This window comes from Homo sapiens, chromosome 2 (assembly GCF_000001405.40).
Source record: "Homo sapiens chromosome 2, GRCh38.p14 Primary Assembly".
In the NCBI taxonomy this organism is placed as follows: domain Eukaryota; kingdom Metazoa; phylum Chordata; class Mammalia; order Primates; family Hominidae; genus Homo; species Homo sapiens.
The window spans coordinates 231,633,537-231,658,912 of NC_000002.12; the positions used below are offsets into that span (position 1 = coordinate 231,633,537).

General features: G+C 50.2%; 1 pseudogene, besides 4 other annotated features; it reads right to left on the reverse strand.

The window, feature by feature from the left end:
* Positions 9,516-9,575: an enhancer, noted in NCBI's record as "active region_17298". NCBI's record gives its function as "activates an Ori minimal core promoter by ATAC-STARR-seq in GM12878 lymphoblastoid cells {active_cell/tissue: GM12878}" and the evidence as "EXISTENCE:reporter gene assay evidence [ECO:0000049][PMID:35858748]".
* Positions 9,616-9,685: an enhancer, noted in NCBI's record as "active region_17299". NCBI's record gives its function as "activates an Ori minimal core promoter by ATAC-STARR-seq in GM12878 lymphoblastoid cells {active_cell/tissue: GM12878}" and the evidence as "EXISTENCE:reporter gene assay evidence [ECO:0000049][PMID:35858748]".
* Positions 9,866-10,005: an enhancer, noted in NCBI's record as "active region_17300". NCBI's record gives its function as "activates an Ori minimal core promoter by ATAC-STARR-seq in GM12878 lymphoblastoid cells {active_cell/tissue: GM12878}" and the evidence as "EXISTENCE:reporter gene assay evidence [ECO:0000049][PMID:35858748]".
* On the reverse strand, positions 12,462-12,737 carry RN7SL499P (RNA, 7SL, cytoplasmic 499, pseudogene; annotated as a pseudogene).
* Positions 12,721-13,474: an enhancer, noted in NCBI's record as "NANOG-H3K4me1 hESC enhancer chr2:232510968-232511721 (GRCh37/hg19 assembly coordinates)". NCBI's record gives its function as "activates a minimal SCP1, AML or CMV promoter by ChIP-STARR-seq in primed H9 embryonic stem cells {active_cell/tissue: H9 hESC(primed)}" and the evidence as "EXISTENCE:reporter gene assay evidence [ECO:0000049][PMID:30033119]".

Here is a 25,376-nt window from a genome sequence, read left to right on the forward strand (position 1 = left end):
AGCACCCACTCATTGAAGTTGGGCTTGAGAAGAGAAGGAAGCTGATAGGAGAGGAGGGTTAAAAGGCATGTGAGAAACCAGAAAAAATTATGTTCAGAGGAAAACACCGGTGCATATTTCTATGCGTGCACATGTGAGTGTGTGAGTGTGTGTGTGCAGGCAGGCGTGTATGTAGAGGCTACAAATAAAGCAGTGTGTCTGCGTCTGTGTGTCTGTGTGAGTGTAGAGACCAAGGGTAAGGGTAAGGAGACAGTGTGACGGTGTGTGAGAGTGTGTGTGTGTGTGTGTGTGTGTGTGTGTGTATACGGGTTACAAATAAGCAGCATGCTTATGTGTGTGTGTGCCTGTGTGTGTGTGCGCCTGTGTGTGTGTGCACGTGTGTGCACACGCAGGTATGTGTATTTCTTGACCAGCCTGGAGACTCTGAGAGTATAATAGCATAGGCCCCAGGGGAGGAGGGCCAGGACGAGGAGAACGGGAGTGGAAAATGGCAGGACTAACACACACGTAGGGAAGAAGTAGAGGAAACAACTGACTCTCTGGCCAAAGCATGAAAGGCCTGGCTGGCACGGTGGCTCACACCTGTAATCCCGCACTTGAGCCCAGGAGTTGGAGACCAGCCTGGGCAACACTGCCAAACCCTGTCTCAACAAACAATACAAAACCAGCAGGGCATGGTGGCGTATGCCTGTAGTCCCAGCTACTCAGGAGGCTGAGGCAGGAGAATCTCTTGAGCCCCGGAGGTCGAGACTGCAGTGAGCCAAGGACAAGGCTACAGTGAGCTGAGATTGCAACACTGCACTCCAGCCTGGATGAGAGAGAGAGACTGTGTCTCAAAATTAAATATATAGAGAGAGAGAGACAGAGAGAAAGAAAGAAAAGAAAGAAAAGAAGAAAAAAAGGAAGAAAGAAGGAAAGAAAGAAAGAAGGGGGAGGGGGAGGGGAGGGGAGGGGAGGGGACTGCTGGGACTGCTAGGCCTGCAAGCCTGAGCTGGGCTTGGCTGGGCATGGGGCCCATACTGAGGCACCATGTTACAGGGTAGGGTGAAGGGATAGAGAGAAACAGGGCAGTTCCAACCCTACCTAGGCCAGGGCCAATCTACTTTCATGTCTACCCTGAGGATGAAACCATCCTGCTAGAGACAGGAGAGCTGACAGGTGACAGGCCTGGGCCCTACTAGGGAATGAGAGGAGGGAATTGAGTGACGTTGCAAAGGAAAGCTCGGGTGACCTGGCAGCTTTTCCATAAAAGGGTTTTCTCCAGGTTGCCTTTCCTCATGGCAGCGGGGTCTCTCACAGGCAGGTCCCACAAGATCTGTGCCCTGGGAAAGCCCAGGACAGCCCAACTCCATGGTGACAGCCATGTGGGTAAGGGCCTGAATCCTGACTCAGTCTGTCCACTCCATCCTCTTCAGCAGAGGCCTCCTCACCCCAGACACCTGGCTCAGTATCAGGGGTCTGGTTACCTGCAGTCCAACCTCCAGGTCGCTCCTCAAGAGCCCCTCGCCCATTCATCCTGCCAACTGCTCTCCTTACCGCATCCGCTCCCACCTCCCTGGCCTCATTCCAAGGTCCCACACACCTCAGAGCACAAGGATTCAGGGAAGACTCTGTCCACAGGAGACTGCAGACCCAGGGAGGGGCTGGGTGAAGCCTCAGACTTGCCTGGCTCAGAATATTTATCAACTGCATTTTTTATTAAGACAATAAAATATGCAATAACATTCTGGCACAGGAGGTGCAGGATTTAAGTAAATGTAACATAAAACAGGCCCAGGAGAATTGGGTATACAGTCAAGAAACAAGAGAAAATTACAAATCATTTTTTTTCTTTTTGTTTTAGCAACAATACTGCAATGAACATTTTTGTTGCTGCATTTTGGACGTCTTAAATATTCCTTCCAGAATAATTTCTAGGGGTGGAAATGACTGGTCAAAAGGAATTGGTAATTTAAAGGCTTAATTTTCCTCCAAAAATGCTCTTCCCATTTTATACATTCTTAGAAGTAATTAGTGAGAAAGCCTCTTCTCTAAGTGATACTCATTTGCCAATCTGATAGGTGAAAGGAGAAATGTTATCTCAAATGGTTTTACTTTGCCTTGTGTTGAGTATTAAAGAGGCTGAAGATTTTCTTCTCTTATTAACCATCTGGTTCATCGTTGATTCATCTGCCAGCTCACACATTCTCCATATTTCTCCTTGGTGCCCTATTCTTTTTTTTTTTTTTCTGGAGACGGAGTTTTGTTCTTGTTGCCCAGGCTAGAGTGCAATGGCACAGTGTTGGCTCACTGCAACCTTCGCCTCCTGGGTTCAAGCAATTCTCCTGCCTCAGCCTCCCGAGTAGCTGGGATTACAGGTGCCTACCACCACACCAGGCTAATTTTTGTATTTTTAGTATAGATGGGGTTTTGCCATGTTGGCCAGACTGGTCTTGAACTCCTTACCTCAGGTGATCTGCCCGCCTCGGCCTCCCAAAGTGCTGGGATTACAGGTGTGAGCCACTGTGCCTGGCTGGTGGCCTATTTTTTTTTTTCTTTTTTTTTTTGAAACGGAGTTTTGCTCTTGTTGCCCAGGCTGGAGTGCAGTGGCGTGATCTCGGCTCACTGCAACCTCCGCTTCCCGGGTTCAAGTAATTCTCCTGCCTCAGCCTCCCGAGTAGCTGGAATTATAGGCACCCGCCACCATGCCCAGCTAATTTTTGTGTTTTAGTAGAGACGGGGTTTCACCATGTTGGCCAACCTGGTCTCAAACTCCTGACCTAAGGTGATCCACCCACCTCGGCCTCCGAAAGTGCTGGAATTACAGGCGTGAGCCACCGCGCCCGGCCCCTATTCTTTAAAAAAGCCCCTTCTAGGCTGGGCACAGTGGCTCACGCCTGTAATCCCAGCACTTTGGGAGGCCAAGGCAGGTGGATAAAAAAAAAAAAAATGCCGGGCATGATGGCTCACGCCTGTAATCCCAGCACTTTGGGAGGCTGAGGCGGGTGGATCACGAGGTCAGGAGTTCAAAACCGGTCTGGCCAACATAGTGAAACCCCGTCTCTAGTAAAAATACAAAAAAAAAAATTAGCCAGGCATGGTGGTGTGAGCCTGTAATCCCAGCTACTTGTGAGGCTGACGCAGGAGAATCGCATGAACCCGGGAAGCGGAGGTTGCAGTTAGCCAAGATCGCACCACTGCACTCCAGCTGGGCGACAGAACGAAACTCCATCTCAAAAAAAAAATTAAAAATTAAAACTGGGCCGGGCGTGGTGGCTCATGCCTGTAATCCCAACACTTTGGGAAGCCAAGACGGGAGGAACACTTGAGCCCAGGAGTTTGAGACCAGCCTGGGCAACATAGTGAAACCCCGTTTCTACAAAAAATAGAAAAATTCGCCAGGCGTGGTAGTCCCAGCAACTCAGAAGGCTGAGACAGGAAGATCATTTAAGCCTGGGAGGTTGAGGCCGCAGTGAGCTGAGATCACAACACTGCACTCCAGCCTGGGTGACCAAGGGAGACCCTGTCTCAAAAATTAAATTAAATTAAAATTAAGGCCGGGCCTGGTGGCTCACACCTGTAATCCCAGCACTTTGGGAGGCTGAGGCAGGCAGATCACTTGAGGCCAGGAGTTCAAGACCAGCCTGGGCAACATAGGGAGATCCCATGTCTACAAAAATTTAAAAATTAGCCAGGTGTGGTGGTGTACACCTGTGGTCCCAGCTACTTGGGAGGCTGAAGTGGGAGGATTGCTTGGGCCCAGGAGGTGGAGGCTGCAGTGAGCTAAGATTACACCATTGCACTCCAGCCTGGGTGACAGAGTGAGACCTTCTCTCTCAAAAAAAAAAATTAATTAAAAAAATCTAGTGGAGTTTTGGTTTATTTCCATCTTTGGCACGGCGCTGATTAATCTTTTCAGGTAAAATCAGGGAGAATAGAAAGAAAAGTTGAGGGAGGGAAGGAAGGAATTTGATCTTTGGGAGGAAGGGCTGAGTGTGACTTGGCAAGAGAAGGCATCCAAGGGCAGAAACGCCAGAGGGAAGGGGCGAAGGGCGCAGAACCAAGGAACTTCCAGAGGCTGACGTCTCCCAGTGGGGTCCACAGAGGTCCCAGTTCACTAAGGGTCATTGCTCCAGGGAGGGAAGGAAGTGGGGGAGGAGGGGAAAAGGGGATGGAAGGGGGAAAGATCTGCATGGCCATGTGTAGCCCTGAAGGTGTCCCTAGGTCAGTCCTGTGGGGTGACAGCACTGGAGAGGCCGCCATAGCCTCTGGAAACCAGATTATCTCACCCAAACCAACACAGGCTTGGAAACATCCCAAGAAGGGGACAGAATTGATGGAGCTTAGGACATACCACCCCAAAATATAGCACCTCAGCATCTGGAAAACCCTAGAAGCAGAAAGGGCTCTCACCATCTCACCCTGCTCCTCTAAAGCAGGTCGTAAGAGTCTCATTCCAGAGATGCCCTCCCGATACCCGGAGGAGAGGAACAGCCTTATCTCCAAAGAGACAGGGACACAGACAAGACTCTGAACAAACAGGCCTTGCTAAGTCTCACGCACCCCCCTCCCCCACCAGTTTACTGCCATTAGATCATATTTATTTATCAAACCAAACTTCTCCACGATTATACACTGCATCATCAAACCTAACGTAAAAAATACACAGGTTGGCCGGGTGCGATGGCTCACGCCTATAATCGCAGCACTTTGGGAGGCTGAGGTGGGTGGATCACAAGGTCAGGTGATCGAGACCAGCCTGGCCAAAATGGTGAAACCCCACCTCTACTAAAAATACAAAAGTTAGCCGAGCGCGGTGGTGGGCGCCTGTAATGGCAACTACTTTGGCGGCTGAGGTAGGAGAATCGCTTGAACTCAGGAGGTGGAGGTTGCAGTGAGCCCAGATCGCACCACTGCACTCTAGCCAGGGTGACAGAGCAAGAATCGTCTCAAAGAAAAGAAAAAAAAATACACAGGTTAGGCTGGGCACAGTGGCTCATGCCTGTCGTCTCAGCACTTTGGGAGGCTGAGGTGGAAAGACTGCTTGAGCCCAGGAGTTTGAGACCAGCCTGGGTAACAATATGAGACCTCGTCTCTACAGAAAAAGTTAGCCAGGCAGAGTGGCGCCTGCCTGTAGGGCCAACTACTAGGGAGGCTGAGGTGGGAGAATCGCTTGAGCCTGGGAAGTGGAGACTACAGTGAGCCATGACTGTGCCACTCACTACACTTCAGCCTGGGCAACAGAGCAAGACCCTATCTATATACATGCATACATGCACACACACACACACACACACACACACACACACTCTCTCTCTCTCACACACACACATAATTTAAAGTGATTACTTGAGCCAAAGTGAGGACAGCTGCTTGATAGATTCAGACCCAAGCAACGTTGGATATGAGTTCTTTGACCTTTGTTAGAAGTGGGTTTTTGTTTTATTTATTTATTTATTTTTGAGACATCCTTTCTCTGCCGCCCCATCTGGAGCACAGTGTTGCCATCTCAGCTCACTGCAACCTCCGCCTCCCAGGCTCCAGCAATTCTCATGCCTCAGCGTTTTGAGTAGCTGGGATTACAGGCATGCACCACCACACCCAGCTAATATTTTGTATTTTTAGTAGAGATGGGGTTTTACCATGTTGGCCAGGCTGGTCTGGAACTCCTGACCTCAAGTTGATCTCCCCGCCTCAGCCTGCCAAAGTTCTGGGGTTACAAGCGTGAGCCATCACGTCCAGCCTGCTGGCTCATTTTAATGTCACTCTGGGCCTGATAACTGAAAAGGACTCAGATTCCTCAGATAAAAGCTCTTTTCTTCTCTCACCTGTTTCTTTGGGTTTTCATTTACAAAGCTTCCTGTGTCATGTAAAACTTATATAAAATAAATGTGAGGCCAGGGTGGCCTCACATTCTCTGCCTCAGCCTCCCAAGTAGCTGGGATTACAGGCACCCGCCACCACGCCCTGCTAATTTTTTTTTTTTTTTTGAGATAGAGTTTTGCTCTTGTTGCTCAGGCTGGAGCGCAATGGCGCAATCTTGGCTCACCGCAACCTCCACCACCCAGATTCAAGCGATTCTCCTGCCTCAGCCTCCCGAGTAGCTGGGATTACCAGCATGCTCCACCACGCCCCGCTAATTTTGTATTTTTAATAGAGATGGGGTTTCTCCATGTTGGTCAGGCTGGTCTCGAACTCCCGACCTCAGGTGATCCGCCTGCCTTGGCCTCCCAAAGTGCTGGGATTACAGGTGTGAGCCACCGCGCCTGGCCTGTTTTTTTGTATTTTTTGTAGAGACGGGGTTTCACCATGTTGGCCAGGCTGGTCTTGAACTTCTGACCTCAGGAGATCCACCCCCCCCCAGGCCTCCCAAAGTGCTGGGATTACAGGCATGAGCCACCATGCCCGGCCTCTTCTGTGAATTTTAAAAATTGTTTTCGTGTGCCTGTAGTCCCAGCCACTTAGGCTGGAGTGTTTAGTGTTTCCATGGATGAATTTGAAAACAAACGAGCCCAGGCGTGGGGGCTCACACTTGGAATCCCAGCACTTTGGGAGGCCGAAGTGGGTGGATCACTTGAGACCAGGAGTTCAAGACCAGCCTGGCCACTATGGTGAAATCCTGTCTCTACTAAAAATATAAAAATTAGCCAGGCTTGGTGGCGTGCGCCTGTAATCCCAGCTACTTGGGAGGTTGAGGCAGGAGAATCGCTTGAACCCAGGAGGCGGAGGTTGCAGTGAGCTGAGATGGCACCACTGCACTCCAGCCTAGGCAGAAAGAGCGAAACTCTGTCTCAAAAAAAAAAAAAAAGAAAGAAAAGAAAACAAACGTCAGAGGCATTATTTGTAACTTACTGTAGATATTTCAAAACAATCCTTGGCTACTACTTAGAAGTTACAGAAATAGACCGTTTGGTCACTGGCTGATTAAAATGGAAAAGACAAAGGTTTTCCGGGGGAAACAAAAAGAGGCAAGGAGTCTCAACTGAGCGCTCAAGAAAGAGTGTGTGTTATTGAGGAGTGACTGGGAGTTGGGGGCCTTGCCTGGACACTGTCCAAATCCGGGGAAGTGTTCTGGGGGGCAGATGAGTGGGCTCTTCAGTTCACCAGCTGGTTCTGTCTTGGAGGCTATTCCCAACAGACACATTTGCTTGGAGAGGGGCCGCATTGGCCACCCTGCTTCCTGCAATTCTGTTTGTGCCCAAACAGTATGAGTGTGTTGTCCCAATGTGGGTGCGTCCCTGTGCAGCACTGCTGTGTTGCCAGGCAACCCAGTGTGTGTCCCCTTAGAATTCTCTCTACTCCTGGAGTCTAACGCAGAGCTGGCATGGCTGGCATCCAGGGCTGCGGCCACCCCGACCTGATCAGTCTGGGGTAGCCTCTGGCCTCCAGTCGTAGGGTGCACAAAAGCCCAGGAGGTGTGGCTGGGGACCTGACACACTGCTGCCTCTGGAGATTGTGGCTGAAATGGGAAGTTTCCATTTGGCTCTGTGTGTGTGTGTGTGTGTGTGTGTGAGCGCACGTGCGCTCGTGTGCGCTCTGTGTCTGAGTGTTGGACTGTTCAAGGCTCTAGCAGGACCTGGCTCATGGCTGAGAATTTAGGGAGTGGAGCTTGCCCTTCCACGGTGGTTGTCCGTCTCTGGGGGCCAGCTTTGGGCATTGGGTGGATTTGACCACAGTGACAGCATTTGCTCTTTTTTTTTGAGACAGAGTCTCACTCTGTCACCCAGGCTGGAGTGCAGTGGCATGGTCTCGGCTCACTGCAACCCACCACCTCCCGGGTTCAAGCAATTCTCCCATCTCAGCCTCCCGAGTAGCTGGGACTACAGGCACCCACCACCACACCCGGCTAATTTTTGTATTTTTAGTAGACACGGGATTTCACCATATTGGTCAGGCTGGTCTCGAACTCCTGACCTCAGGTGATCCACCCGCCTCAGAATCCCAAAGTGTTGGGATTACAGGTGTGAGCCACCACGCCCGGCCTTGAGGGTAATTCTTTTTTTTTTGCTCGAGACAGAGTTTCGCTCTTGTTGCCCAGACTGGAGTGCAATGGCGCCATCTCAGCTCACTGCAACGTCTGCCTCCCAGGCTCAGGTGATTCTTGTGCCCCACCCAGCCTCCCACCTCCCAAGTACCTGGGATTACAGGCATGCACCACCACGCCCCGGCAATTTTTTTTTTTTTTTTTTTTTTTTTTTTTTTTTTTTTTTTTTTTTTTTTTTGTGAGACAGAGTCTCTCTCTGTCGCCCAGGCTGGAATGCAATGGCTAACTGCAAGCTCCGCCTCCCGGGTTCACGCATTCTCCTGCCTCAGCCTCCTGAGTAGCTGGGACTACAGGCGCCCGCCACCACGCCCGGCTAATTTTTTGTATTTTTAGTAGAGACGGGGTTTCACCGTGTTAACCAGGATGGTCTCGATCTCCTGACCTCGTGATCTGCCCACCTCGGCCTCCCAAAGTGCTGGGATTACAGGCGTGAGCCACCGCGCCCGGCAGCCTTCTCATTCTTCTTGCAGGAATCTTTTAAATTCGTTATTTGGAACCAGCACAAAGTGTCTTGGTACCAAGTGTAGTGATCACTCAAGACAAAAATGAAATAGACTGGAAATGTGGCAAGGCCAACTTGTATGTTCCAAAAACAGGTTCTGAAAGGAATTTTTGTTTTTCGAGACAGGGTCTCACTGTCGCCCAGGCTGGGGTGCAGTGGTGCAATCACAGCTCACTGCATCCTCGACCTCTGGACTTTAGTGACTCTCCCACCTACAGCTTCGTGCCACCACGCCAAGCTAATTTTTTTATTTTTTGTAGAGACGGGGGTCTTCCTATGTTCCCCAGGCTGGTCTTGAACTCCTGGCCTCCAGTGATCCTCCCGCCTCGGCCACCCAAGGTACTGGGATTACAGGCGTGACTCACTGTGCTCAGCCCTGAAAAGAATATTTTTTAAAACAAGTTTAAAAATAAAATATTTTGAACAGTGAAAGCAACATCTTTGAAATAATCACAACTTTCTAGGATTATTCCTTTGAAGTTCTGTTCTATTTTGATTTTTAAAAGATCTCTCTCAAGACTGTAGAGGTGCAAACAGGTTCAGGAAGAGCAGCTGACCCCCTCCTGCAGCACAGGAGGAAGGAGACAGAGCAGATCCGGGGCTGCAGCGGCTTCCCGAGGGTCCCCGCGGCCGCATCCTGCGGAGGGGTTCCAGTGTTTCTGTTTATATCTGTGTGTGGGTGTGTCTCCCTCTGGGTTGTGCACTAGCAGGCTCTGGGCGTGTCCCATCTAACAGCAGCTCATCCAGGAGGTGTTTCATCGCTGCAGGGAAATTCCAGAGGGCAGCTCCTGCCACAACTGCGGTGAGACATAATTTCCTTGGGAGGAAACCAGTTCTCAGCAGCCAGAAATGAAACAGTTTCCACTCTGGGAGGGCGCAGGAGGGTGTGGCTGCAGGCGGGGCAGAGCTACCCGCCTGGAGAGCCTGCTGGCCGGCCTGGCTCCCTGAAGCCTCCAGTCACAGTTTAAATTTAGACCTTCTATTCTGGTCCGTGCTGCTCACGCCTCACCCCGTGGCCACCGGTCAGCCAGTTTCCCCGAGCACAAGTGTGCTCCGGAGGGACAGAACACGTAGGAGGTAAACGGTGTCCTGACCTTCGTTCTGTGGTGGTGTGGAATTGTGAAGTGGAATGGAAGAAAGACCAAGGCCAGAAAAATCCTCCACCCTAACAAATTTCAGAACCAGGGACCCCATGTGCACGCGCCCCACTAACTTCACAGACAGAAACATGCTTGTCCTACAGCCGTTTGTGGAGAGTCAGCCACGTGAACCACCAAGACTCGGTCCCCCTTCACGGTCTGGTGGAAATTCAGACAAGAAGAGGGCTGATTAGTGAGCAGGAAGAGAGTGCATGTTCAGGGCAACTTGAATCTATGCCTTGAGGCAGGGGCCAGGGCGGGGAGGGAGTAGGCCAAGGGCTGTGAATCCCAGCACTTTCAGAGGCCGAGGCGAGAAGCTTGCTCAAGCCCAGGAGTTCGAGGCCAACCTAGGCAACATAGTGAGACCCAATCTCACAAAAAATACAAAAATTAGCCAGGTGTGGTGGCACACACCTGTGGTCCCATCTACTGCAGATGCTGAGGTGGGAGAATCGCTTGAGCCTGGGATCATGTGCCCCACTCACTTCACAGACAGAAATAGGCTCGTCCTGCTGCAGTGAGCTGAGATTGCACCACTGCACTCCAGCCTGGGTGACAGAGCAAGACCCTGTCTCAATCTATATATATAAACAAAGTTAGCAAAATCTATGAGAATTAAGGCCTGCTTTACCCTAAAAATTCTTTTTTAAAAATCATACACGCTGGGCGCAGTGGCTCACCCGTGTAATCCGAGCACTTTGGGAGGCCAAGGCAGGTGGATTGCTTGAGTCCAGGAGTTGGAGAGGAGCCTGGGCAATATGGTGAAACCCCGTCTCTAACAAAAAAAATACAAAAAATAGCTGGGCGTGGTGGTCTGCGCCTGTAGTCCCAGCAACTCCGGAGGCTGAGATAGGAGGATCCCTTGAGCCTGGGAGGTGGAGGTTGCAGTGAACGGAGATCATGCCACTGCACTGCAGCCTGGGTGACAGGGTGAGACCATGTCTCAGAAAAAAAAAAAAAAAAGAAAAAAAATCATATAACCATAATTCCTATAATTTCCACTTCATTCTGTTCCCTGCCCAAATGCCCCTGCCCTGACCCTCCAAATCAGTCCCCGCCTCTCACTGCCCCTCATCCTGCTTCATGTTCTCCCCAGTGGCACCATCATCTGACAGTGGCACACATCCATGTGTCTTAGCACTTCCTCCCCCAGAATGCAAGATCCAGGAGAGCAGGGACTTGGCTTTGCTCGCTGCTACGTCCCCGGTTCCTAGAGAAGTTACCTGTATTAACCAAACACTTACTAGATACCAGGTGTTGTTAAACATTTCAAATGGGTTTTCTAATTTTATCTTCATGATAACCTGTGAGGTTTTTACCCAAGTAGGAAAAGGAAGCCGGGAGAAGTTGAGGATCCTGTTCAAGGACACACAGGGAACCCGGGCAGTCTGTGCTGGCGTGTGTGCCCTTGGCCACTTCACTGACTGGGTGCCCTTTCCACCCAGCCCTGCACATGCTCTGCGAGGGAAACCACCTCTCTTACTCTCTCACTCAGCCCTTGCTGAGCTCCCTAGCCTGTCTCAGGAAGGCTGAGCCAAACCCCCAGCCCCTGCCGCCCCCACCCCCAACCATCCTGGCCAGTGCCTGGGAAGAGGTGCCTTCGTGGTGAAGGGATCCAGAATGTACACATGTCCCCAACTTATGATTTTTTGACTTTACAACGGTGTGAAAGTGAGCTGCATTCAGTAGAGACCACACTTCAAACTTTGAATTTTGATCTTTTCCCGGACTGGCGATACTGTCAGTGATGCAGCCGCAGGAGCCACAGCGCTGGGTGAGCACCGCACTCTGCGGTGGACGTGCTGCCCAAGGATTCTGATTTCCTTCCTTCCTTCCTTCTTTTTCCTTTCTTCCTTTCCTCCCTCCCTCCCTTTCTTTCTTTTTTTTTTTTTTTTTATTTTTGAGGCAGAGTCTCACTCTGTTGCCCGTCCAGGCCAGAGTGCAATGGCACCATCTCGGCTCACTGCAATCTCCGCCTGCCAGGTTCAAGGGATTCTCACGTGGCTCAGCCTCCTGAGTAGCTGGGATTACAGGCATGTGCCACCACGCCTGGCTGATTTTTGTATTTTTAGTAGAGACAGGGTTTCACCATTTTGGCCAGGCTGGTCTTAAACTCCTGGTCTCAAAGCCATCCACCTGCCTCGGCCTCCCGAAGGGCTGGGATTACAGGCCTGAGCCACTGCACCCGGCCCCTCCCTCCCTCCTGTCCTTCCTTCCGTTTTTTTTTTGTGGTGACAGGGTCTCACTATGTTGCCCAGGCTGGTCTGGAACAATCCTCTCGCCTTGGCCTCCCAAAATGCTGGGATTACAAGTATGACCACCGCACCCAGCCTGCCAAATGATTTTGCCCAACTGTAGGCTGATGTCAGTGTTCTGAGCACATTTAAGGCAGGCAAGGCTAAGTGATGACAGTTGGTAGGTTAGGTGTATTGAATACATTTTCTACTTAAGATATTTTCTTTTTTTTTTTTTTTTGAGACAGAGTCTCACTCTGTCGCCCAGGCTGGAGTGCAATGGCGCGATCTCGGCTCACTGCAACCTCTGCCTCCTGGGTTCAAGCAATTATCTTGCCTCAGCCTCCTGAGTAGCTGGGATTACAGGCACCCGCCACCACGCCAGGCTCATTTTTTGTATTTTTAGTAGAGACAGGGTTTCACCATGTTGGCCAGACTGGTCTTGAACTCCTGACCTCAAGTGATCTGTCTGCCTCAGCCTCTCAAAGTACTAGGATTGTAGGTGTAAGTCACTGCAGCTGGTCTTAGGACATTTTCTTTTTTTCTTTTTTTATGATTTTTTTAGAGACAGGGTCTCGCTATGTTGCCCAGGCTGGAGTGCAGTGGCTACGCACAGGCTCCGTTCTACTAGTGATCATCACAGTGTGATGGTCACAGTAGGATGATCACTTAGGCAACCTGGTAGTTCCCTGCTCCTGGGAAGTCACCATACTGATACCAAACTTACTGTGAACACCTGTTCGGCATACAGCATTAACACCCTGAACTCTTGTGCTCATGCAATCCTGCCTCAGCCTCCTGAGTAGCTGGGACTACAGACACAAGCCACCATGCTCAGCAATATTTTCAACTTACCTATGGGTTTATCAGGACATAACCCCATCATAAATGGAGGCATATCTGTATCACTGGATAGAGTTGTTGTTTTGTTTTTGTTTTGTTTTGTTTTGAGACAGGGTCTCACTCTGTTGCCCAGGCTGGAGTGCAGTGGCATGATCACGGCTCTCTTCAACCTCCACCTCCTGGGCTCAAGTGATCCTCCCACCTCAGCCCTCCCGGAGTTGTTCTTTTATCCCCGCTGAATACCTCCTATCTAAAAGCAGGGCCTCCCAAAAGAATTCAACTGTCCTCAATATCCTTTCCAGGAGTTTCGCAGCAGGGAAGACTGAGAAGTCAGCACAGTGTTAAGAAATCACCTAAACAGACATGTCACAAAAGTAGCTCCACCTATTCTCCTAAAGGCCTCTTTTGTTTGTTTGTTTTGAGACAGGGTGTTGCTTGGTTGCCCAGGCTGGAGCGCAATGGCATGATCATAGCTGATCATAGCTCACTGTAACCTCAAACTCCTGGGCTCAAGCGATCCTCTCGCTAAGAGCCCATTTAGTTCTCCTAAAAGTAATTTGTTTTCCCATAAGTAGCTTTTCTCCCCCTCACTTCTCCTATGAAGATAATATGTAAGCCCCAAATTCTAACCACCTCCGTGAGTCACATTTTTCTGCAAACTCCTGCCTGCAAACATGTCTCTTGCTTATTTATCTTTTTTTTTGGAGATGGAGTCTTGCTGTGTTGCCCAGGCTGGAGTGCAGTGGCGCGAACTTGGCTTACTGCAACCCCGCCTTCCGAGTTCAAACAATTCTCCTGTCTCAGCCTCTCAAGTAGCCGGGACTACAGGCACACACCACCATGCCCGGCTGATTTTTTTTTGTATTTTTAGTAGAGGTGGGGTTTCACCGTTTTGCCCAGGCTGGTTTCGAACTCCCGAGCTCAGGCAATCTGCCCTCCTTGGCCTCCCAGAGTGCTAGGATTACAGGCATGAGCCACCGAGCCCAGCCGTTTGTCTTTTGTCAGCTTCATTTGCAGGCTCCAGAACGCTGAACCTAAGAATTCAGCATGGTCTGCAGTGCAGCCCTCAGCTCTGTGTGCCAGAGGGAATCCCTTTCTGGAGGACCAACTCACACTAACCAAACTCATCAAGCACTGAGGAATAGACAGAAATAAATGGTGCTCTAACACCTGGACTTAGGGACACCACAGATAAAATCCTCTACCCAGAGACCAAGCTACCTCAGATCCTGCTGCCCAAAATTCCACCATCTAGTCATTTTGGGGGGTTAAAGCACCATAGTCCTATGAGGTCCCTTTGAAATGCAAATCCACTGCAGAGGAATACAGAATTACTCAACTCAGTATCCCTAGAATTTTGGAGGTGAGTAAGAAAATCCTAGAACTATCCTGAAATTTCTAACGATGTCTGGGTATTCCTGTTTCTATGGAAAGACATTATTTAATTAATTAATTTATTTTTTTTGAGACGGAGTCTCGCTCTGTCGCCCAGGCTGGAGTGCAGTGGCGCAATCTCGGCTCACTGCAAGCTCTGCCTCACGGGTTCACGCCATTCTCCTGCCTCAGCCTCACAAGTAGCTGGGACTACAGGCGCCTGCCACCACGCCCAGCTACTTTTTTGTATTTTTAGTAGAGACGGGGTTTCACTGTGTTAGCCAGGATAGTCTCCATCTCCTGACCTCGTGATCCGCCCGCCTGGGCCTCCCAAAGTGCTGGGATTACAGGCGTGAGCCACTGCGCCCGGCCAAGACATTATTTTTCAATGGACTGCTTTGGAAATGATCTGAGAAAAATAAAGAGAAAAAAACGAGGATGCTACTTCTATGTAGATAAGGAGCAATCTCCAAAGCATAGGTTGCTAAATAAAAAAGCAAATGCAGGCCAGCTGGGCACAGTGGCTCATGCCTGTAATCCCAGCACTTTGTGACGCCAAGGCGGGCAGATCACGAGGTCAGGAGTTTCAGACCAGCCTGGCCAACATGGTGAAACCCCGTCTCTACTAAAGATATAAAAAATTAGCCTGGCATGGTGGTGGGCGCCTGTAATCCTAGCTACTTGGGAGGCTGAGGCAGGAGAATCACTTAAACCTGGGAGGTGGAGGTTGCAGTGAGCTGAGATTGCGCCACTGCACTCCAGCCTGGGCCACAGAGGGAGACTCCGTCTCAAAAAAAAAAAAAGAGTTTGAGGCCAAGGGACAGGGTGGGAGAGAAACTTCTCACATTTTTTTTTTACCTTTTGAAATGTTGTCCCTTGTGCTCATTTATCTATTCAAAGAGCAGCTGTCCTTAAAGATTCTTTCCACCTGATATTGAAATTACAGATTTCCCTGCCTCCAGCTCTGACACCCCTGTTTTGTGCTCTGATGCTGACCTGCTCCCAGAGACTTCCTCCCAGTCAGGCGCACCCACTGCCTTGGGGAAGAGGTGTCCCAGGGAACAGAAGGACCAGCAGGAACCAGCGCCACCAGGGTGCCGTGTGGGCCAACCCCAGCAGATGGCAGCGTGTGGCCACTCAAGGTGTCTGGCCACTAAGGAGGGGTGCCAGGCCACCTGAGGCACAGGAGTGGAGACAGGGATGCCAGGAGGGAGGGCTGGTGGGGTGACCGTGAGTGTAGTTGGTGCTGGGCAGGGCTGCTTCCTCTTCTGTGCCACAGGCCCCTGGAGTCTAGGGGGGCCCAGGGACCTTTCTCAGAGTGGTTTTTGCATTTTTATTTTTATTTATTTATTTATTTTGAGACGGAGTTTCACTCTTGTTGCCCAGGCTGGAGTGCAATGGTGTGATCTTGGCTCACCGCAACCTCTGCCTCCCGGGCTTAAGTGATTCTCCTGCCTCATTCTCCCAAGTAGCTGGGATTACAGGCATGTGCCATGACGCCTGGCTAATTTTGTATTTTTTTTCTTTTTTTGTTTTGTTTTTTGTTTTGTTTTGTTTTTTGAGATGGAGTCTCACTCTGTCGCCCAGGCTGGAGTGCAGTGGCGCAATCTTGGCTCACTGCAACCTCCCCCTCCTGGGTTCAAGCGATTCTCCTGCCTCAGCCTCCCGAGTATGTGGGACTACAGGTGCAGGCCACCATACCTGGCTAATTTTTTGTATTTTTAGTAGAGATGAGGTTTCATCGTGTTAGCCAGGATGGTCTCCATCTCCTGACCTCGTGATCTGCCCGCCTTGGCCTCCCAGAGTGCTGGGATTACAGGCATGAGCCACCACGCCCAGCTAATTTTGTATTTTTAGTGGAGACGGGGTTTCTCCATGTTGGTCAGGCTGGTCTCAAACTCCTGACCTCAGGTAATCCGCCCGCCTTGGCCTCCCAAAGTGCTGGGATTGCAGGTGTGAGCCACTATGCCCGACATTTATTTTATTTTTTGAAACAGAATCTTGCTCTGCTGCCCAGGCTGGAGTGCAGTGGCACAATCTCGGCTCACTGCAACCTCCACCTCCTGGGTTCAAGCGATTCTCCTGCCTAAATCTCCCAAGTAGCTGGAATTACAGGTGCCAGCCACCAGACCCAGCTAATTTTTGTATTTTTAGTAGAGGTGGGGTTTCACTACGTTGGCCAGGTTGGTCTCAAACTCCTGGCTTCAAGAAGTGATACTCCTGCCTCAGCTTCCCCAAGTGCTGGGATGACAGGTGTGAGGGTAATTCTTTTTTTTTTTTTTTTTTTTTTTTTTTTTTTTTTTTTTTTAGACAGAGTTTTGCTCTTATTGCCCAGGCTGGAGTGCAATGGTGCGATCTCTGCTCACCGCAACCTCCACCTCTCGGGTTCAAATGATTCTCCAGCCCCAGCCTCCCAAGTAGCTAGGATTACACAGACGTGCCACCACGCCCAGCTAATTTTTTTTATATTTAGTAGAGACAGGGTTTCACCATGTTGGTCAGGTTGGTCTCGAACTCCTGACCTCAAATGATCCACCTGCCTCCACCTCCCAAAGTGCTGGGATTACAGGCATGAGCCACCATGCCCAGCCAAGGGTGATTCTTTATAAATGTATTCAATAACTAGATCCAGCAGTGAGCATGATAACTACGACTTTTTTTTTTTTTGAGACATGGTCTCACTGTTACCCAGGCTAGAGTGCAATGACGTGATCATAGCTCACTGCAGTCTCGACGTCCCAAATTCAAGCAATTCTCCCACCTCAGCCTCCCAAGTAGCTGGGACTACAGACGCATGCCATCATGCCCAGCTGGTTTTTTTTTTTTTTTTTTTGTAGAAATGGTTCTCACTATGTTGCCCAGGCTGGTCTCAAACTCCTGGACTCAAGCAAATCCTCCCACCTCAACTTCCCAAAGTGCTGGGATTACAGTCGTGAGCCACTGTGCCGGGCATTACCATGATTTCAAAATCATGATGAACATGAAGACATCCAAAATATCTTCCACAACTGTGGCGTGATAAGAAAATACCTCGGCAGGGCGTGGTGGCTCACGCCTGTAATCCCAGAACTTTGGGAGGTCGAGGTGGGCGGATCATGAGGTCAGGAGATCCAGACCAGCCTGGCCAACATGGTGAAACCCTGTCTCTACTAAAAATACAAAAATTAGCTGGGCATGGTGGCACGCACCTGTAATCCCAGCTACTTAGGAGGCTGAGGCAGGAGAATCGCTTGAACCTGGGAGGCAGAGGTTGCAGTGAGCCGAGATCACACCACTGCACTCCAGCCTGGCGACACAGCAAGACTCCATATCAAAAAATAAATAAATAAATAAAAAGGCCAGGCGCAGTGGCTCACGCCTGTAATCCCAGCACTTTGGGAGGCTGAGGCAGGCGGATGACGAAGTCGGGAAATTGAGACCATCCTGGCTAACGCAGTGAAACCCCGTCTCTACTAAAAATACAAAAAATTGAGCCAGGTATGGTGGCTCATGCCTGTAATCCCAGCACTTTGGGAGGCCGAGGTGGGCAGATCACGAGGTCAGGAGTTTCGAGACCAGCCCGACCAACATGGTGAAACCCCATCTCTACTAAAAATACAAAAATTAGCCGGGCCTGGTGGTGTGCACCTGTAATCCCAGCTACTCAGGAGGCTGAGGCAGGAGAATCACTTGAACCCGGGAGGCGGAGATTGCAGTGAGCCAAGATCATGCCATTGCACTCCAGCCTGGGCAACAGAGCAAGACTTCGTCTCAAAACAAAACAAAACAAAACAAAACAAAACAAAACAAAACAAAACAAAAAATTAGCCAGCTGTGGTGGCGGGCGCCTGTAGTCCCAGCTACTCAGGACGCTGAGGCAGGAGAATGGCGTGAATCCGGGAGGCTGAGCTTGCAGTGAGCCAAGATCATGCCACTGCACTCCAGCCTGGGCAACAGAGCAAGACTCTGTCTCAAAAAAAAAAAAAAGAAGAAGAAGAAAATACCTGTGCTTGCTTTCTTTTTCCTTTCTTTTTCTTTTTTTTTTTTTTTTGAGACAGAGTTTCACTCTTGTTGCCCAGGCTAGAGTGTAATGGCGCAATCTTGGCTCAGTGCAATGGCGCAATCTTGGCTCAGTGCAACCTCTGCCTCCCTGGTTCAAGCGATTCTCTTGCCTCAGCCTCCCGAGTAGCTGGGATTACAGGCACTTGCCACCACGCCCAGATAATTTTTGTATTTTTTTTAGTAGAGACAGGGTTTCACTATGTTGGCCAGGATGGTCTCGAACTCCTAACCTCGTGATCTGCCTGCCTCGGCCTCCCAAAGTGCTGGGATTACAGGCGTGAGCCACCATGCCTGGCTTATTACCTGTGCTTTCTGTAGGTGACAAAGTCCCAGGAACTGCCTCTACTACTGTGGTGTGCTGCTTACATACACATGGAAAGAAATGCTAGATGTCAACGAGAGATTAGTAAAACTCCACGGTGTCACTTTTTCCCATCCTAAGTTCACGGAATCCTTAACTGTAGACTAAGAATCTAAGGAGCGCAGGTCCGAAGGGGCCTCAACCTGGGAGGAAAGGCTGAATTTCTGGACGCCTCCACGAGCCAGAGTTGGATTCTGCTGTCATTCAAAGTTGGTGTGGGAGCCGGGCGTGGTGGCTCACGCCTGTAATCTCAGCACTTTGGCAGGCCGAGGCAGGTGGATCACCTACCTGAGGTCAGGAGTTTGAGACCAGCTTTAGCAACATGGTGAAACCTCCTTCTGTACTAAAAATACAAAAATTAGCTGGCGTGGTGGCGGGTGCCCGTAATCCCAGCTACTTGGGAGGCTGAGGCAGGAGAATCGCTTGAACCCAGGAGGCGGAGGTTGCAGTGAGCTGAAACCGCACCATTGCACTCCAGCCTGGGCAACAAGAGTGAAACTCCGTCTCAAAAAAAAAAAAAGTTACTGTGGGAGACCTGGAAGGCAGAGTGGGGGCCAGGGATAGGAGGACAGCCTGGGCACGGTGGAGCTGCCACCAGGGACACTCTGCCCTGGCTGGAAGCTGGCCTGGAGTGTGCATGGATAGATGCTCCGCCTGTCGCCTCCAGGCCCTCCAGTGACAACAGCAGTGCATGGCTGGTCTGGCTGGGAGGACTGTCAGGGCTCCCCTCTTCTCACGTCCCCAGCTCTCTCCCAGGCACCCCAGCTCCTTTCACTTCAGAGGAGCCCGTGATTCTCTGGAAACCAGAAGGTACCCCAGGGCCCCTCTTCCACCCTCCAGAGGGTGGTTCACGTCACCTTGACAACGGGCCAGCAACAAGGAAATGGGGTGAAGTGCGTCCCCTCTGCCCTGTTCCACCTTTGCAGGAGCCTTGAGTCTAAACCAAAAAATAGCCAGGAGCTCTGTGTTGCCTAGACAATTCCATCTTATGTCTGAGGTCAGGGCACCTTTTTTCCTGTTTGTGTATTTGGTTTGTTTTTCCACTTTGTGTTACAATTTTTTCTTTTTTTTTTTGAGACAGAGTCTCGCTCTGTTGCCTAGGCTGAAGTGCAGTGGTGCGATCTTGGCTCACTGCAACCTCTGCCTCCTGGGTTCAAGCAATTCTCCTGCCTCAGCCTCCCGAGTAGGTAGGATTACAGGTGCGTGCCACCAGGCCCAGCTAACTTTTGTATTTTTAGTGGAGATGGGATTTTGTCATGTTGGCCAGACTGGTCTCAAACTCCTGGACTCAAGTGATCCACCTGCCTTGGCCTCCCAAAATGCTGGGATTACAGGCGTGAGCCACTGCACCCTACCAAAAATTTAAAAAAATACATGAAAGTATAAAAAAATAGGCCAGGCGCTGTGGCTCACACCTGTAATCCCAGCACTTTGGGAGGCTGAGGTGGGCAGATCACAAGGTCAGGAGTTTGAGACCAGCCTGGCAATATGGTGAAACCCCATCTCTACTAAAAATACAAAAATTACCTGGGCATGGTGGTGGGAGCCTGTAGTCCCAGCTACTTGGGAGGCTGAGGCAGGAGAATCCTTGAACCCTAGAGGCAGAGGTTGCAGTGAGCCGAGATAGTGCCACTGTACTCCGGCCTCGGTGACAGAGCAGGACTCTGTCTCAAAAAAAAAAAAAAAAAAGTAAAATATACTCCCATTACCTCCTCGCCCAGATTCTACAATTCTCAACCTTTCACCACAGTGGTTTTCTCTGTCCCTTTTCAGCATAATTATTAGTTGTGCCATCTTTTCCCTCAGAAGTCCTGGTTTGAACAACTTAATGCAATCTCTGGCCCTAGACTGAATGCTGCCCTGGAGGAAAAAAAAAAGTGCTATTAAGGACATATTTGGGTCAATTGATAAAACTGGAATATAGGCCAGGCGTGGTGGCTCACGCCTGTAATTCCAACACTTTGGGAGGCCGAAGCAGGTGGATCACCTGAGGTCAGGAGTTTGAGACTAGCATGGCCAATATGGCAAAACCCCATCTCTACTAAAAATACATAAAAGTAGTTGGGCGTGGTGGCATATGCCTGTAATCCCAGCTACTAGGGGGGCTGAGGCAGGAGGATCGCTTGAACCTGGGAGGCGGAGGTTGCAGTGAGCTATCACGCCACTGCACTCCAGCCTGGGCAACAGAGCAAGACTCCGTCTCAAAAAAAAAAAGAAAAAAACTGGAATATAAACAGTGGAGCAGATACAACTCTTATCAAAGTTAAATACATTGAAGTTGATTTTTTTTTTCAAGATGGAGACTCACTCTTGTCGCCCAGGCTGGAGTGCAATGGCGTGATCTCGGCTCACTGCAACCTCTGCCTCCCTGGTTCAAGTGATTCTCCTGCCTCAGCCTCCCGAGTAGCTGGGGTTACAGGCATCCACCAGCACGACCAGCTAATGTTTTATTTAATTAGCCCAGCTAATTTGTATTTTTAGTAGAGATGGGGTTTCACCATATTGGCCAGGCTGGTTTAGAACTCCTGACCTCAAGTGATCCACCCGCCTCAGCCTCCCAAAGTGCTAGGATTATAAGCGTGAGCCACTGTGCCCGTCCAAAGTTGATTTTTTTTTTTTAATGTGGTTATACAAGGCAGTTTCCTTATTCTTAGAAAATACACACAGATCAGCCGGGCGCAGTGGTTCATGCCTGTAATCCCAGCACTTTAGGAGGCCGAGGCTGGCGGATCACGAGGTCAGGAGTTCGAGACTAGCCTGACCAACATTGTGAAACCCTGTCTCTGTATAAAAATTAGCTGGGCGTGGTGGCACGTGCCTGTAATCACAGCTACTCAGGAGGCTGAGGCAGGAGAATTGCTTGAACCTGGGAGTCAGAGGTTGCAGTGAGCCTAGATTGCGCCACTATACTCCAGCCTGGGCGACAGAGCAAGACTCCGTCTCAAAAAAAAATAAAAGAAAAAGAAAATACACACAGATTCGCCAGGCGCGGTGGCTCACACCTGTAATCCCAGCACTTTGGGAGGCTGAGGAGGGTGGATCACCTGAGGTCAGGATTTTGAGACCAGCCTGGCCAACATGGTGAAACCCCGCCCCTACTAAAAATACAAAAAATTAGCTGTGCGTGGTGGCGCTTGCCTGTAATCCCAGCTACTTGGGAGGCTGAGGCAGGAGAATCACTTGAATCCGGGAGGTGGAGGTTGCAGTGAGCGGAGATAGGGCCACTGCACTCCAGCCGGGGCGACGAGCGAAACTCTGTCTGAAAAGAAAAAAAAAGAAAAAATTTGCCCAAGAAAATACATTAGCAAACAACGAGAAGCATTAGTTCAAACAATAAATACTATGGCCACCCTACCTAAACTCTAGAAAGTCTAAAATGTCCAACGCAGACTTAACCAGAAAGCTGGCCCTAGTATTCTGGGCTTCTGGGTTTCAAGGTCTCACGTGTCAGGGGCCTATCCCATGCATTTGCATCCATCTGAAAGGAAACGGAGAATATTCGTGAAACCAGGCAGCTGTTACAGAGCAAGGGCTTCAGACAGAGCCCTGGGGCAGGAGCGGTGAGGGGCAGAGGCAGCTGGACAGCTCCTGCCTCCAGGAGGCTGCTCTTGGGCAAGTGGGCAGCATTTGTGGGCCACCATGATGGCACGGGGCTCTGTAGCCCCAAGGCTAGCACTTGTGGGCTGGCCTACAGCAATCCCCTGCCTGGGCGTCTCTGCACATAGCTGGCAGGATGCTGCTGCCCACTGCGTCTCTGCACATGGCTGGCAGGATGCTGCTGTCCACTGGAATGATCCAGAACGAGAGCTCTCAGCTTTCATAAAGGTCTAGGAGTCCCTGAGATTTGCAAGGTCCAAGATTGTGTCTTTTCTTATTCAAGGCTGAGTTGGAATTTAACATATCTCTCCTAATCACCTGATGTCTCTGCATCAATTAGCGTGCACCCTCCCCCTGCAAACTTCCCTCGGAAATGAAAACCATATGCATGATAACAATATCCCTGGCTAACAGTTAAGGGCACTTGTGTGCCTCACTTAATCCTCCCACGAACCCAAGGAAGTGAGTTTAGGAAATGTTAACTAAGGCCACTAAGATAGAAAGGGGTGGAGTTGAGTTTCCAGCACAGCAAGACAGGAGTGGGGAGGATGGAGCAGGCAGGTGCATGGGGAACCGCCCCGCCTGGAGGACATGGGAGCCCAGAGGTAAAAAAGCCTACTCTGGAAAGGAGACGCAGGTAGGGTACCTCACAGCATTTACAAATCTCCATGACCCTTGTGTCGGGTTCTGAGCATGGATTTAAGAACCAAGGTTCAAACCCCAGTTTAGCTGATCACTAGCTGGGTGACCTTGGGCAAGCTTCTTTTTTATTTTTTTTTATTTTTTGTGAGACGGAGTCTCCTCCTGTCACCCAAGCTGGAGTGCATTGGTGAACTCGGCTCACTGCAACCTCCGCCTCCTGGGTTCAAGCGATTCTCCTGCCCCAGCCTCCCAAGTAGCTGGGATTACAAGCGCCCGCCACCACCCCCAGCTAATTTTTTGTATCTTTAGTAGAGACGGGGTTTCACCATGTTGGCCAGGCTGGTCTCGAACTCCTGACCACGTGATCGGCCAGCCTCAGTCTCCCAAAGTGCTGGGATTACAGGCGTGAGCCACCGTGCCCAGCGGACAAACTTCTTAACCTCTCTGTACCTCAGTTTTCTCCTCTCTAAAACAAGGATAATAATAATGCCTTATGGAGTGGCTGTGAGAATGAATGAATTACACACACAGAATTGACGGCTTAGCTTTCATTTTACTCCTATATAGGTGCCAACATTTCTCAAAGAAAAAAAAATGGGCCGGGTGCGGTGGCTCACACCCATAATCCCAGCACTTTGAGAGGTTGAGGTGGGCAGATCACTTGAGGCCAGGAGTTTGAGACAAGCCTGGCCAACATGGTGAAACCACATCTCTAGTAAAAATACAAAAATTGGCCGGACGCGGTGGCTCACATCTGTAATCCCAGCACTTTGGGAGGCCAAGGTGGGCGGATCACGAGGTCAGGAGTTCAAGACCAGCCTGACCAATATGGTGAAACCCCATCTCTACTAATAATACAAAAATTAGCTGGGCGTGGTGACACGCGCCTGTAGTCCCAGCTACTCGGGAGACTGAGGCAGAAGAATTGCTTGAACCCGGGAGGCGGAGGTTGCAGTGAGCCGAGATCGCACCACTGCACTCCAGCCTGGGGACAGAGCAAGATTCCAACTCAAAAAAAAAAAAAAAAAAAAAGGCAAAAATTAGCCGGGCATGGCGCACACCTGTAATCCCTGCTACTAGGGAAGGCTGAGGCAGAAGAATCGCTTGAACCCGGGAGGCAGAGGTTGCAGTGAGCTGAGATTGTGCCACCGCACTCCAGCCTGGGTGACAGAGCCAGACTCTGTCTCAAACAAACAAACAAAAAATCTGTTTAGCATGTACTATCATTGCTCTTTAAAAAAGTATTAAAAATAAAAAAGGTTAGCCGGGCGTGGTGGCTCTCAACACTTTGGGAAGCCAAGGCAGGAACACTGCTTGAGCCCAGAAGTTTGAGACCAGCCTGGGCAACGTACTGAGACCCTGCCTCTATCAAAAAAACAAAACTAAACTAAACTAGCCAGGCATGATAGCACACACCTGTAGTCCTAGCTACTCAGGAGTCTGAGGCCGGAGGATCGCTTGAGCCCAGGAGTCCTGTGATTGGACCACTGTGCTCCAGCCTGGGGGACAGAGCAAGACCTTGTATATAAAATAAATAAATAATAAAAAGTGGTTACCAGACAGCACCTGGTGCTGTAGTATGGGCTGGCCCACCCCTTGGCTTGCTCCTGATGGATACTGCTGTCACTACAGGCAAGATGGGCAGGGTCTGGGGACATCATCATGCTACAGGTGCAAAGTCCCCAGAGTATGTGATCTCAGTGGAAGAAAGGGGCAAAGAGCCCTCAGTGAGTGCCTCTGCTGCCTCGTCAAGCCCACATTTCTCAACCTGCCCACAAAACCAGTTTCCCCAGGTCCTTGCAAGATGGTTTCTACCTATTGGGTGTGCCTCCCCTATATGGCTGTGGGACAAAAGCCGTCTGTCAAGAATTGAAAAATGGGAATAAAGGCTGGGCGCGGTGGCTCACACCAGTAATCCCAGCACTTTGGGAGGCCGAGGCGGGCAGATCACGTGAGGTCAGGAGTTTGAGACCAGCCTGGCCAACATAGTGAAATCCCGTCTCTACTAAAAATCCAAAAATTAGCCTGGCATGGTGGCAGGCACCTACAATCCCAGCTACTCAGGAGGCTGAGGCAGGAGAATCGCTTGAACCTGGGAGGCGGAGGTTGCAGTGAGCCGGGATCACACCATTGCACTCCAGCCTGGGGGACAGAGACTCCGTCTCAAAAAAAAAAAAAGAGGGAATAAATGCTGAAGGTACATGGGGAATCATACTCTTCTACTTTTTTGTATGTTGAAAATTTACATACATTTTTAAAATGTGCCAGGCACAGTGGCTCACGCCTGTAATCCCAGCACTTTGGGAGGACGGGGCGGGCAGATCACTTGAGCTCAGGAGTTCAAGACCAGCTTGGGCAACATGGTGAAAACCAGTATCTACAAAAAATAAAAAAACTCACCGGGCATGGTGGTGCGTAGTCCCAGCTACTCAGAAGATCACTTGAGCCCGGGAGGTTGATGCTGCAGTGAGCCACTACACTCCACTTTTATCCCAGCTCTTTGGGAGGCCGAGGCAGGCAGATCACCAGGTCAGGAGATTGAGACTATCCTGGCTAACAAAGTGAAACTCCATCTCTACTAAAAAATACAAAAATTAGCCAGGCGTGGTGGAGAGCGCCT